At 43.3% G+C, this 15,717-nt stretch overlaps 1 pseudogene; it reads right to left on the minus strand.

The window, feature by feature from the left end:
- On the minus strand, positions 7,800 to 8,741 carry RPS2P7 (ribosomal protein S2 pseudogene 7; annotated as a pseudogene).

Consider the following 15,717-nt stretch of genomic DNA (forward strand, 5'->3'; position numbering starts at 1 on the left):
AGCAAGTCATCTGGCACCATTTTTCTAACAGCATGTGCTTACTTCATGTCTCTGTGTCACATTTTGGTAATTCTCAAAATATTTCAAACTTGCTAGGCGCAGTGGCTCATGCCTGCAATCTCAGCACTCGGGAGGCCAAGGCAGGTGAATCACCTGAGGTCAGGAGTTCGAGACCAGCCTGACCAACATGGTGAAACTCCGTCTTTAATAAAAATACAAAATTAGCTGAGTGTGGTGGCGCATGCCTGTAATCCCAGTTACTTGGGAGACTGAGGCAAGAGAATCGCTTGAACCTGGGAGGTGAAGGTTGCAGTGAGCTGAGATCTTGCCATAGCACTGCAGCCTGGGCAACAAGAGCGAAACTCCATCTCAAAAAAAAAATTTCAAACTTGTTTTATTATCATATCTGTTGTGATGATCTGTCATCCATAATCTTGGTTATTACTGTTGTAATTGTTTTGGGACACTATGAACTGCGCCCCTAAAAAATGATTAATGGATAAATGTTGTGTGTGTGTTCTGACTGCTCCAACAACTGGCCATTTCCCCATCTCTCTCCCTCTCCTCAGGCCTCTCTATTTCCTGAGACATAACAATATTAAAATTAGGCCAATTAATAACTCCACAATGGTCTCTACGTGTTCAAGTGATAGGAAGGGTTCTATGTCTCTCACTTTAAATGAAAAGCTGGAAATGATTACAGTTAGGAAGGCATGTCAACAGCAAAGATATGCCAAAAGCTAGGCCTCTTGTGCCAGTTAGCCAAGATATGAATGCAAAGGAAAAGTTGTTGAGGGAAATTAAAAGTGCTACTCTAGTGAACACATGGATGATAAGAAAGCAAAACAACCTTATTGCTGATATGGAGAAAATTTTAGTGGTCTGGGCAGAAGATCAAACTAGCCACCACATTCCCTTAAGCCAAAAACCTAACCAGAGAAAGGCTCTAGCTCCCTCCAATATTATGAAGGCTGAAAGAGGTGAGAAAGCTGCAGAAGAAAAGTTGGAAGTTAGCAGAAATTATTTCATGAGGTTTAAAGAAAGAAGCCATCTCCGTAATATAAAAGTGCAAAGTGAAGCAGCAAGTGCTAAGGTAGAAGTTGCAGCAAGTTACCCAGAAGATCTTGCAAAGTGATGAAGATGTCTAAATTAAACAATAGATCTTCAGTGTGGAAAAATAAGCCTTCTGTAGGAAGAAGATGCCATCTAAGACTTTCATAACTAGAGAGCAAAAGTCAATGCCTGGCTTCGAAACTTGAAAGGATAGGCTGACTCTCTTGTTAGGGGCTAATGCAGCTGGTGACTTTAAGTTAAAGGTAATGATGATCATTTACCATTCTGAAAATTCCAAGTCCCTTCAGAATTCTGCTAAATCTACTATGCCTATAAATAAGACACCATCTTGATGATAGCACATCTATTTACAGCATGGTTCACTGAATATTTTGAGTCTACTTTTCACACCTAGACACATTTTGAGTCTACTTTTGACACCTAGACACCTACTGCTCAAATAAAAAATACTCATTCAAAATACTACTCCCATTGACAACGTGCCTGGTCACCCAAGAGCTCCAATGGAGATGTACAAGGAGATTAATATTGTTTTCATGCCTGCTAACACAATATACATTCTACAGCCCATGGCTCAAGAAGTGATCTTGACTTTCAAGTCTCATTGTTTAAGAAATACATCTTATAAGGCTATAGGTGACATAGATAGTGATTCTTCTGATGGATCTGGGCAAAATAAATTGAAAACCTTCTGGAAATGATTCACCATTCTAGATGCCATTAAGAACATTCATGATCGACAGGAGGAGGTGAAAATATCATCACTAACAGGAGTTTGGAAGAAATTGATTCCAACTCTCATGGCTGACTTTGAGAGTTTCAAGACTTCATAGAGGAGCCCACTGCAGATGTGATAGAAATAGCAAGAGAACTAGAGTTAGAAGTTGAGCCTGAAAATGTGATTGAATTGCTGGAATCTCATGATAAAACTTGAATGGATGAAGGGTTACTTCTTTTTTTTTTAAGAGATAGGATCTTACTCAGTTGCCCAGGCTGGAGTACAGTGGCATGATCAGAGCTCACTGCAGTCTTGAACTCCTTGGCTTGAGCTATGCTCCCACCTCAGCTTCCCTGGTAGCTAGAACTACAGGCATGCACTACTGCCCTTGGCTTTTTTTTTTTTTTTTTTTTTTTTTTTTTTTTTTTTTGGAAAGACAAGGTCTAGCTAAGTTCCCCAGGCTGATCTCAAGTTCCTGGCCTCAAGTGATCCCCTCCTACCTCGGCCTCCCGAAGTGCTGAGATTATTATAGGCATAAGCCATGGCACCCAGTCAAGGAGTTGCTTCTTATGGATGAGCAATGAAAGTGGCTTCTTGAATTAGAAACTTCTCCTGGTAAGGATGCTGAAAACATTTTTGCTACTTGGGAGGCTGGGGCAGGAGGATCACTTGAACCCAGGAGTTTGAGGCTGCAGTGAGCTATGATCCTTGCCACTGCACTCTAGCCTGGGTGTTAAGACAAGACCCTGTCTCTTAAAAAAAAAAAATAGCAACTCTTCATCCATGAAAGTTGTATCATTAGACTGTTGAAATGACAACAAAGGATTTAAAATGTTACATAAACTTATGATAAAGCAGTAGCGGGATTTGAGAAGATTGACTCCAATTTTCAAGGAAATTCTTCCGTGGAAAGAAATTCAAACAACATCACATGCTACAGAGAAATCTTTCATGAAAGAAATAGTCAACTGATGCAGCAAACTTTATTGTTGTCTTATTTTAAGAAATTTCCATAGCCACTTTAGTAACCACCACCCTGGTCAGTCAGCAGCCATCAACATTGAGGCAAGACTCTCTACCAGCAAAACAATTATGACTAACTGAAGGTCAGATGATCACTAGCATTTTTAGCAGTAAAATACTTTTAATTATATACACTGTTTTTAACATATAATACTATTGCACACTTAATAGATTATGGTGTAGTGTAAACATAACTTTTATATGCAGCAGGAAACCAAAAATATGTGTGATTCTCTTTATTGTGGCAGTTGGATCCAAACTTGATCTCTAACGTATATCTGCATTAAGAGAGGCAAAGTTAGCCAGGCACAGTGGCTCATGCCTGTAATTCCAGCATTTTGGGAGGCCGAGGCAGGTGGATCACCTGAGGTCAGGAGTTTGAGACCAGCCTGGCCAATGTGGTGAAACCTCATCTCTACTAAAAATATAAAAATTAGCCAGGTGTGGTGGCGCACACCTGTAGTCCCAGCTACTCAGGAGGCTGAGGCAGGAGAATCGCTTGAACCTGGGAGGCAGAGGTTGCAGTGAGCCGAGATTGCACCACTGCACTCCAGCCTGGGTGACAGAGGGAGACTCCATCTCAAAATAAACAAACAAACAGAAAAACAATGAGAAGCAAAGTTACCTGCCAGTGGCCACATGGAGAGTAAACTTCCATGTCCAAATCCAGAGCACTTTGCCATGTAAACACACTATGGGTTCCAAACTGCTCTATTTCCTGTCACTGGTGCAAGTGCCATGAACTATGAATTTTACTAGAAGCAGTTGCTCCAATCACTGATGTCCTGACCTATGTTCCAGAGAGCTCTCTGGACAGCCTACCCTGCCCCAGGGAACTCAGAGGCTACACCTAGAATATTGCAGCTGGAAAGGGTGCCCATTTGGTTATGACTGTGTGCTCTGTCTTATATGGAAGCATCTGTATACCTCCATATTATTTACAATAGGGTGGTGAGGAATCCTGGAAGACTTTGAACCTCATGGAGATATAGGAGGAATCAAATGCCTATTCTGCCAAAATCTGGATCTCCAAAATGTTAAGTCCTAGTCATCAGAGAATCACAGATGAGGTCTGGCCTGTTGGTGACCAAATGCAAGTCTTATGATTCCCACTGCTTTTGCATTATTTGTTCTCTTCCTATGCTCCAGACATGCCCCTTCAAGATGGCGAATGCAGATGGGAGGATCCTAAAAGAATACTCCCCACCTCTGATGTCATGGTATTGGCCAGCTCCTGCATCATTTCCATACTTTGGCCACAGCTGATGCTCATAGTGAGTCCATAACTGATGCTGTCATCAGCAATATGTGCCCCACCCAACCTCTAGTTCATCCTAACAAACCTAGGATGCCTAAATCATGCAGTACAGAAGGTTATCTGAAATGCAAGGGTTGGGTTTAGGTGCTAAGTGCAATATCTATCACCAAGAAAAGTCCATTAGCCAAAAATATAGTTGCAATAACTATGACATGAAGCATTCAAAGATAGTCTTCTATCCAGAGGAAGTCTCTTATAACTCTCCCATTAAATATACATTCTTTAGAATTATACCCATCAGTTAATGTGTCCAGTGTCTTAACTTGGGAAGAGTTCACTTCTTGAAAATTTTTAGTGACAGATGGTAAAATGTAGAAGTAAGTATCTGAGTGAAAGGGCACTAAACTTCAGATTTCTGAGGCTATTCTGGATCATTGTGGCTAGTACATGGTGACACCTTGCCATGTTGATTCAAGTATTCTATTATTTAAAGTCTTCTTGGATTATAGTTTTTAAATTAATTTATTTATGTTTTAATTGACAAAAAATTATATGTATTTATCATGTACAATATGATGTTTTGAAACCTGGATACATTGTGGAATGATATTGTGGAATGACTAAATCTAACTAATATATGCATTACCTCACTTATTTTTTATGGTGAAAACACTCAAAATCCACTCTCTTAGTAATCTTCAGGAATACAATACATTAACTGTAGTCCCCATGTTGTACAGCAAATCTCTTAGCTCACTTCTCCTATCTAACTGAAATATTGTATCTCCAACATCTCCCCAGCATCCACCCCTCAGACCCCGGTAGACACCATTCTACCTTGTTCCTGTGAATTGAATTTCTTTGGATTTCATATTAAAGTGAGATTATGTGATATTTATCTTTCTGTGCCTGCTTATTTTACTTAACATAATGCTCTCTAGGTTCGTCATGTTGTTGCAAATGACAGGATTTCCTTCTTTTTAAAAGCTGAGTAATATTTTATTGTTTATATATGTTGATGCTTCCATGTCTTGGCTGTTACGAATAACACTGCAATGAACTGGAGTGCAGATATCTCTTTGGCATACTGATTTTATGTTCCAGTATGCCAAAGAGTATCCAGTAGTCTAATTGCTGGATAATGTGGTAATTCTATTTTTGTTTTTTTTAGGAACTTCCATACTATTTTCCATATGGGTATACTAATTTGCATTCACACCAACAGTGTGCAAGAATTCCCTTTTCTTCACATCCTTGCCAGCCCCTAGGATATTCTGTCTAATTGATAATAACCATTCCAACAGGTAGGTGTGAGATGATAACTCATCATGGTTTTAATTTGCATTTCTCTGATGATTAGTGATGTTGAGCATTTTTTTTCATCTACCTATTGGCTATGCATGTCTTCTTTTGGTCCTTTGCCAATTTTTTAATCAGGTTGTTTGCTTGCTGGTGAGTTGTTTGAGTTCCTTACATATTTTGGATATTAGCCCTTATCAGATGCATGGTTTCTAAGTATTTTCTCCCATTCCATAGGTTGTCTCTTAACTCTGTTAGTTGTTTTCTTTGTGGTTTGATATTATCCCACTTGTCTAGTTTTGGTTCTCATTGCCTAGACCAATGTAATGGAGCTTCCCTTCTATGTTTTCTTCTAGTACTTTTACAGTTTTAGGTTTTAGGTTTTACATTTAATTATTTAATCCATTTAGAATTGATTTTTGTATATGATGTGAAATTAGGGTCCAATTTCATTCTTCTGCATGTGAGCATCCAGTTTTGCCAGGAACTTTTATTGAAGAGGCTGTTCTTTGCCAGTTGAGTTTTATTGGTATCTTTGTCAAAATCAGTTGACCATAAATGATTCTGTTTGTTTCTAGGTTCTCTGTCATATTCCTTTGATCTATGTTTCTGCTTTAAATGCCAGCATTATACTGTTTTGATTTTTATAACTTTGTAATATACTTTAAAACCAGGTAGTGTGATATGTTCAGCTTTCTTGTTTTTGCCCAAGATAGTTCTAGCAATTTGGGGTCTTTGGGATTCCATATAAATTTTAAGGTTTTTTTCTATTTCTGTGAAAAATGTCATTGGAATTTTGATATGATTGCATTGCATCTGTAGAACACTTTGGGTAGTATGGACATTTTAACAATATTATTAATTCTTCCAATCTGTGAAAACAGAATGTCTCCACTTATTTGTGTCTTCTTCAATTTCTTTCATCAATGTTTCAGTTTCCAGTGTACAAGTTTTTAACCTCCTTGTTTAAATTTATTTCTAAGTATCTTTTTTTTGCTAGCTATTGTAAATGGGATTGTTTCCTAGACTTCCTTTTTGATAGTTCATTTTTACTGTATAGAAATGCTACTGATTTTTTGTATGTTGATTTTATGCCCTGCAACTTTATCAAATTTGTCCATTATTTCTAAACAGTTGTTTTAGGGTTTTCTGTATATCAGAGCATGTCATCTGCAAACAAGGACAAATTAACCTCTTTCTTTTCAGTCTGGATGCCTTTTATTTATTTATTTATTTTTTTTTTTTTTTCTTTTTTTTTGAGATGGAGTCTCGCTCTGTCACCCAGGCTGGAGTGCAGTGGCGTGATCTCGGCTCACTGCAAGCTTCGCCTCCTGGATTCACATCATTCTCCTGCCTCAGCCTCCCAAGTAGCTGGGACTACAGGGGCCCGCCACCGTGCCCAGCTAATTTTTTTTGTATTTTTAGTAGAGACGGGGTTTCACCGTGGTCTCGATCTCCTGACCTCGTGATCCGCCCTCCTCGGCCTCCCAAAGTACTGGGATTACTGGCGTGAGCCACCGCTCCCAGCTCTTGTATTCTCTGCCTAATTGCTCCAGCTAGCACTTTCAGTACTATGTTGAATAGAAGTGACAAGAAAGAGTGGGCATCCTTGCCTTATTCCTGACATTAGAGGAAAAGTTTTCAACTTTCCACCATTAAGCCTGATATAAGCTGTAGGCTTTTCATATATGGCCTTCATTGAATTGAGGTACGTTCCTCCTTTACCTAATTTGTTGAAAGTTCTTATCATGACAGCGTGTTGAATTTTGTCAAATGTTTTTTCTGCATCTGAGGAGATGATCATATGGTTTTTGTCCTTTGTTATATTAATGTGGTGTTATCACATTTATGGATTTGTATATGTTGCATCATCGTTGGATCCTAGAGATAAATCCCACTTGATTTTGGTACATAATATATTTAATGTGTTATTGAATTAGTTGGCTAGTACTTCGTTAAAGATTCTTATATATGTTCTATTAGGCTGTTCTTGCGTTGCAAAAAGGAATACTCAAGATTGGGTAATTTATAAAGAAAAGAGGCTTACTTGGCTCATGGTTCTGTAGGCTGTGCAAGCATAGTGCCAGAATGTGTTTGGATTCTGGGAAGGCCTCAGGGAGCTTTTACTCATGGCAGAAGGAAAAGCAGGAGCAGGCACCTCACATGGCCAGAGTGCAAGCAAGAGAGAGAGGGGGCAGGGAGGTGCCACACATTTTTAAACAACCAGATCTCATGAGAACTCATCATCATGAGGACAGCACCAAGCCATGAGGGGTCTGCCCCCATGACCCAAACACTTCCCACCAGGCCCCACCTCCAACACTGGGGATAACAATTCAACATGAGAATTTGTTGGAACAAATATTCGAACCATATATATTCACTATGGGTATTGGCCTATAATTTTCTTTCTTTTTTTTTTTTTCTCACGCTTAATTCACTTTATTTTTCTTGTATAAAAACCCTATGTTGTAGCCACAGCTGGAGCCTGAGTCCGCTGCGCGGAGACTCTGGTGTGGGTCTTGATGAGGTGGTCAGTGAATTCCTCATAGAGAGACTTGGTAAATACAGTCTCCTTCCAGAGGTCGGGGGGCAGGTAGCTGTAGGTCTTAGAAATGGCATCAAAGGTGGCCTTGGCGAAGTTGCCCAGGGTGGCAGTGCAGCCCCGGGCTGAGGTGTAGCAGTCATCGATACCAGCCATCATGAGCAGCTTCTTAGGCACAGGTGCGGAGACAATGCCAGTGCCCCTGGGTGCAGGGATGAGGCGCACCAGCACAGAGCTGCAGCGGCCTGTCACCTTGCAAGGGACGGTGTGGGGCTTGCCGATCTTGTTGCCCCAGTAGCCTCTGCACACGGGGACAATGGAGAGCTTGGCCAGGATGATGGCCCCACGGATGGCGGTGGCCACCTCCTTGGAGCACTTAACACCCAGACCGACGTGGCCATTGTAGTCCCCGATAGCAACAAACACCTTGAACCTGGTGCGCTGGCCGGCACGGGTCTGCTTCTGCACTGGCATAATCTTCAAAACCTCATCCTTGAGAGACGTCCCCAGGAAAAAGTCAATGATCTCTGATTCCTTAATGGGCAGGGAGAAGAGATATATCTCCTCCAGGGACTTGATCTTCATGTCCTTGACCAAGCGGCCCAACTTGGTGACAGGCATCCACTCCTTATCCTCGGGCTTGCCTTCGCGAGCTCCGCGGCCTTGGCCCCGGCCCCGTCCACGGCCGCGACCCCGGCCCCGGATGCCACTGCCGAAACCTCCGCGGAAGCCACCGCGGTTCCCCATCCCAGGGCCACCAGGGCCTCCGGGCCTCCCCGCTGCACCGGCGTCATCCGCCATTTGGTGTTTTCTCGGAAAAGAAGTAATTTTCTTTATTTGTAGTGTCCTTGTCTGGATTTAGTATAGAGGTAATGCTCACCTTGTAAAATGAGTTTGGATGTATTTCCTCTTCTTCCATTTTTTGGAAGATTTTGGAAGGATCAATATTAATTCTTTATAAATGTTTGGTAGAATTCAGCAATAAAGTCATCAAATCCTGGGCTCTTTTTTTTGATAGGAGGCTTTTATTATTGATTCAATCTCCTTACTTTTTATTGGTCCTTTCAGATTTCCAGTTTCTTCATGATTCAGTTTTGATAGGTTTATGTGTCTAGGAATTTATCTATTTCTTCTTGCTTGTATAATTTTTTGGTATATAATTGTTTATAGTAGTCTCTTACAGTACATTGTTGTTTATCTGGTATCAGTTGTTATGCCTTTTTTCTTTGTGATTTCATTTATTTTAGTCTTTTCCCTTTATTTTTCATAGTCTACCTAAAGTTTTCTCAATTTTATTTAGCTTTTCAACACCTGACTCTTAGTTTCACTGATCTTTTCTATTATTTTTCTATTTTATTTATCACATCTATTTTTGCTCTGGTCTTTATTATTTTTTTCCTTCTGCTAAATTTGGACTTGTTTGTTCTTGTTTTTCTACTTCCTTGAGGTATAACATTAGATTATTTCAGATATTTCTACTTTTTTGATGTGGATATTTATTGCTTATCTAAACTTTCGTCTTAGAGTTGCTTTTGCTGCATCCCCTAAGTTTTAGTATGCTGTGTTTCCAGTTTTGTTTGTCTCAAGATATTTTTAAATTTCCCTTTTAATTTCTTCATTGACCCACTGGTTATTCGGAGCATGTTGTTCAATTTCCACGTGTTTGTGAATTTTCAGAAATTCCTCCTCTTATTGATTTCTAGTTTTATACCATTGTGGTCAGAAAATATAGTTGATATGACTTCAGTCTTTGTAAATTTGTTGAAACTTATTTTATGGTCAAATATATTATCTATCCTGGAAAATGTTCCACGTGCACTTGAGAAGAAAATATATTCAGCTGCTGTTGGATGGAATGTTCTGTATATGTTTGTTAGCCCATTTGGTCTAAAATCTAGTTCAAGTGTGTTGTTTTCTTGTTGATTTTCTGTCTACATGATCTGCTCATTGCTGAAAGTGGGGTATTAAAGTCCCCTATTATTATACATTATAGTGTAACTCTCCCTTCAGATCTTTTAATATTTCCTTTATATTTAGATGCTTCAGTATTGGATGAATACATATTTATCATCGTTATATTTTCTTGATGAATTGACCTCTTTATCGTTGTACAATCATTTTCTTTGTCCTGTATTACAGTTTTTGACTTAAGGTCTATTTTGTCAATATAAACATAGCTACCCTTGAGCTCTTTTGGTTTCTCTACCTTTTTCTACCTCTTTACCTTCAGTCTATGTGTGTCCTTAAAGGTGAAGTGAGTCTTTTTCAGACAGCATATAAATGGGCCTTGTTTTTTATCTATTCAGTCACTCTATGCCTTTTGATTGGAGAATTTAATCTATTACATTCAAAGCAATTGTTGAGAAGGAAGGGCTTACTACTGCCATTTTGTTAGTTGTTTTCTGGTTATTTCGCAGATCCTTTATTCTTCCTCTCTTACTGGCTTCCATTGTGGTTTGATGGTTTTCTGTGGTGTGATTTGAATCTGTTCTTTTAATCTTATGTATGTGTGCTGTTGGTTTTCACTTTGTGTTTACCATGAGGCTTTCAAAAAACATCTTAGAGTTATAATAAACTATTTAAGCTGATAACAATTTAACTTCGATAACATAAAAAACTATAAGATTTTTTGGGCAGAGCGGTGGGGGGTGATGGGTGCAGTGGCTCATGCCTTTAATCCCAGCACTTTGGAGGCCAAGGCAGGTGGATCACTTGAGGCCAGCCTGGCCAACATAGAAAACCTCATCTCTGCTAAAAATACAAAAAGTTAGTTGGGCGTGGTTGCACATGCCTGTAATCCCAGCTACTCAGGAGGTTGAGGCACACAAGAATCACTGGAACCCAGAAGGCAGAGGTGGCAGTGAAACGAGATCATTCCACTGCACTCCAGCCTGGGCAACAGAGCAAGACTCTGTCTCAACAACAACAACAAAAATACGATACACTTTTTCTCTACTACCACCATGCCCTGCATTTTAAATTTTTGATATCACAGTTTACATCTTTTTATATTGTGTGTCCCTGAAAAATTATTGTGGCTATTAATTTTAATAATAACTTTGTCTTTCAACCTTCGTACTAAAGATATATGTGATTTGCACACCACCATTCAGTATTAGAGTATTCTGAATTTGACTGTGTTCTTACTTTGACCGTTAAGTTTTATATGTTTTATGTTGCTAATTAGTATATTTTACTTTAAGCTTGAATATTCCCTTTAGTATTTCTTGTAAAATCAGCCTGGTGATGGTGAACTCCCTCAGCTTTTGTTTGTCTTGGAATGTCTTTATCTCTCCTTCATTTCTGAAGGATAGCTTTGCAGGGTGTAGTATTTGGGCTTGACAGGTTTTTTTCCTCCAGCATTTTAAATATATCATCCCACTCGCTCCTGGCATGTAAGGTCTGCCAAGAAATCTGCTACTAACCTTATTGGAACTTTATTATGTGAGATTTTTTTATTTTCTTTTGCTGCTTTCAGGATCCTCTCTTTGTCCTTGATTTTTGACAGTTTGGTTATCAAATGTCCTGGTGTAGTCTTGTTTAGATTGAATTTCATTGGACAATTTTGACCTTCCTGTACCTGGATATTTATATTTGTCTCCCAATTTGGAAATTTTTCTGCTAATATTTCTTTAAATAACTTTTCTACCCCTTTGTCTTTCTCTTCTCCTTCATGAACTCCCATAACTTGGTATTTGATCTTTTGATGCTGTCCCATAAACCCTGTCAGCTTTCCTTTTTGTTGTTGTTGAGTTTTGTTTGTTTGCTTGCTTGGGGCTTGCTTGTTTTTGAGACAGGGCCTCAGTTCTGTCACCCAGGCTGGAGTGCAGTGGCACAATCATGGCTCACTGCAGCCTTGACCTCCCAGGCTCAAGTGACACTCCCACCTCAGCCCCCCAAGCAGCTGGAGCTGGGACTACAGATGCAAGCCACCATGCCCAGCTAATTTTTTTTGTAGAGGGCATGGGTCTCACTTTGTTGCCCAGGCTAGTCTCAAACTCCTGGGCTCAAGTGATACTCCCACCTCAGCCTCCCAAAATGCTGGGATTACAGGTATGAGCCACTACACCCAGCAATCTTATAAGTTTTCTTTATTCCTTCTCATTCTCTTTTTCTCCTCTGACTGTATATTTTCAAATAACCTATCTTTAAGTTCACAAATGCTTTCTTCTGCTCAATTTCTTATCTATTCCATTTTTCATTTCATTGTATTTTTTAGCTCCAGTTTGATATTTGATTTCTGTTTGATATGTTCTATAATTTCAATCTCTCATTAAATTTATCATTTTGGTCATTTTATTGTTTGCCTGATTTGATTGAATTGTTTCTCTGTATTTTCTTGAAGTTCACTGAGTTTCCTTAAAACAATTATTTTGAATTGTCTGTCAGGCAGTTCATATATCTCCATTCCTTTGGTATCAGCTACTAAGAGATCACTGTATTCTTTTTTTTTTTCTTTTTTTTTTTTTTATTGATCATTCTTGGGTGTTTCTCACAGAGGGGGATTTGGCAGGGTCATAGGACAATAGTGGAGGGAAGGTCAGCAGATAAACAAGTGAACAAAGGTCTCTGGTTTTCCTAGGCAGAGGACCCTGCGGCCTTCCGCAGTGTTTGTGTCCCTGGGTACTTGAGATTAGGGAGTGGTGATGACTCTCAATGAGCACGCTGCCTTTAAGCATCTGTTTAACAAAGCACATCTTGCACCACCCTTAATCCATTTAACCCTGAGTGGACACAGCACATGTTTCAGAGAGCACAGGGTTGGGGGTAAGGTCACAGATCAACAGGATCCCAAGGCCGAAGAATTTTTCTTAGTACAGAACAAAATGAAAAGTTTCCCATGTCTACTTCTTTCTACACAGACACGGCAACCATCCGATTTCTCAATCTTTTCCCCACCTTTCCCCCCTTTCTATTCCACAAAACCGCCATTGTCGTCATGGCCCGTTCTCAATGAGCTGTTGGGTACACCTCCCAGACGGGGTGGCGGCCGGGCAGAGGGGCTCCTCACTTCCCAGTAGGGGCAGCCGGGCAGAGGCGCCCCTCACCTCCCGGACGGGGTGGCTGGTCGGGTGGGGGGCTGACCCCCCCACCTCCCTCCCGGACGGGGCGGATGGCCGGGCAGAGGGGCTCCTCACTTCCCAGTAGGGGCGGCCGGGCGGAGACGCCCCTCACCTCCCGGACGGGGCGGATGGCCGGGCGGGGGGCTGACCCCCCCACCTCCCTCCCGGACAGGGCGGCTGGCCGGGCAGAGGGGCTTCTCGCTTCCCAGTAGGGGCGGCTGGGCAGAGGCGCCCCTCACCTCCCAGACGGGGCAGCTGGCCAGGCGGGGCGCTGACCCCCCCACCTCCTTCCCGGACGGGGTGGCTGGCCGGGCGGGGGGCTGACCCCCCCACCTCCCTCCCGGGTGGGGCGGCTGGCCGGGTGGAGACGCTCCTCACTTCCCAGACGGTGTGGTTGCCGGGCGGAGGGGCTCCTCATTTCTCAGATGGGACGGTTGCCAGGCGGAGGGTCTCCTCACTTCTCAGACGGGGCGGCCGGGCAGAGACGCTCCTCACTTCCTAGATGGGGTCGCGGCTGGGCAGAGGCGCTCCCCACATCTCAGATGATGGGCGGCCGGGCAGAGACACTCCTCACTTCCTAGATGGGATGGCGGCCGGGAAGAGGAGCTCCTCACTTCCTAGATGGGATGGCGGCTGGGCAGAGACGCTCCTCACTTTCCAGACTGGGCAGCCAGGCAGAGGGGCTCCTCACATCCCAGATGATAGGCAGCCAGGCAGGACGCTCCTCACTTCCCAGACGGGGTGGCGGCCGGGCAGAGGCTGCAATCTCGGCACTTTGGGAGGCCAAGGCAGGCTGCTGGGAGGTGGAGGTTGTAGCGAGCCGAGATCACGCCACTGCACTCCAGCCTGGGCACCATTGAGCACTGAGTGAACGAGACTCCGTCTGCAATCCCGGCACCTCGGGAGGCCGAGGCTGGCAGATCACTCGCGGTTAGGAGCTGGAGACCAGCCCGGCCAACACAGTGAAACCCCGTCTCCACCAAAAAAATACGAAAACCAGTCAGGCGTGGCGGCGCGCGCCTGCAATCGCAGGCACTCGGCAGGCCGAGGCAGGAGAATCAGGCAGGGAGGTTGCAGTGAGCCGAGATGGCAGCAGTACAGTCCAGCTTCGGCTCGGCATCAGAGGGAGACCGTGGAAAGAGAGGGAGAGGGAGACCGTGGGGAGAGGGGAGAGGGGAGAGAGAGGAGAGAGGAGAGAGGAGAGAGGAGAGATCACTGTATTCTTTGGTGTTCTCCTTGTATTTTTTTTTGTTATTGCCTTACATTAATGTGTGTGCATTTGAAGAAATAAGGACATTTCAGTCTTTGAAGACTAGTTTTTTCTGGGGAAGCCCTTTATCAGTCATCCGGAGGTTCGGGAGAGGCCATCTGGCATGATCCCAGGTCATACTTGCTGCTAGAGTCCTCAGGCAGGCTGGCCTGGTTCCTGGGTCAGGAGGTGGGTGGGCCTGGTGCTTGAGTCCACAGGGTTGGGCCTGAAGGCTGGATCCACTGGGGTGAATTTGTTGATTGGGTCTGCAGGAATGGTGTTGGAGCCAGGGTTCAAGAAGGCAGGCCTGGACCTTGTATCAGTGAAGGCCAGCCTCATGCCTGGGTACACAGGAGCTAACCTGGCTCTGGGATGGACCGTGAGCCTGAATCTACAGGGTCTGGCCAAGTTCTGGGAGGGGGATGGCACCTGGGACTATTGAGATGGGTCTGGAGCCTGAGTACCTCAGGGCTGTCCTGGAGCTTATGTCTGCAGGGGTGTTCTTGGAGCCTCAGCCTATGGGATCCGGCCTAGAACTGAGTTCTACTGGGGTGGGCCTGGACCCTGGATCTGCTATATCAGGCCTGGACTCTGGGTTCACTGGGCCTTGGGTGCACATGGACTGGCCTGGAGCCTACAGTCAACCTGGTACTGGGGCTAGTGTGGAGTTTGGTTCACAAGGGCTGGTCTGGAGCCTCAAGATCATGGGCACTGACCTGGTGCCTAGAGTCACTGGAGCTGTCCTGGAGCCTAGAGCCAAGAAGCCTGGTCCAGCTCTGGAGTCTACTGAGACTCTTGGACCTTCAGTCAAATGGAGGGTGGTGCTATGGAGACTGGCCTGGCACTGTGCAGGCCTGAGCCTGTGTCTGTAGGTATCTTCCTGGTGTTTAAGGCCAGGGATGCTGATCTGGCACTGGAATGGGTGGGAAGCCTGAGGCCACGGGGGTTGGCTTAGTACTGAGTGGTCCTGGATCTTGTATTTGTAGGGCCTGGCCTGGAGGCTGAGTCTGCACATGCTGGTCTGAGGAGTAGGGCTGTGGAAATCAACCTGGTGCTGAGGTAGACTTGAAGCCTGAAGCTATGAGGGCCAGCCCAGTGCTGGAGAAGGTCCAGAGCTTAGGGCCTTGGGGTCTGCCTGGCCCTGGGATGGGCTTAGAACATGACTCTGTTGGGGCTAGCCTGAAGCTAGGACTGCTGGGGCCTGTCTGCCACTGGGGCCGCTAGGGTTGAGCTGGCACTAGAGCAGACCCAGAGATCAAGTCTACTAGGCAGACCTGGAGCCTGGGGCTGCTGAGGTCAGCCTATTTGTAATTTCTTTCTTCTGACAATTAGAAACCTTACTCAAATTATCTTCCAGTTATTTACTTATTTGTTTAAACTTGTATATATGGAAAGTAGTTTTAGAATTGTTTATCCATATCTCTGTGAGAAACCATTTACCAGACACCTGCTCTCTAAACAACTGAGTGAAAGTGCTACTGAAAATTC

The sequence above is a fragment of the Homo sapiens genome, chromosome 20, assembly GCF_000001405.40.
Source record: "Homo sapiens chromosome 20, GRCh38.p14 Primary Assembly".
In the NCBI taxonomy this organism is placed as follows: domain Eukaryota; kingdom Metazoa; phylum Chordata; class Mammalia; order Primates; family Hominidae; genus Homo; species Homo sapiens.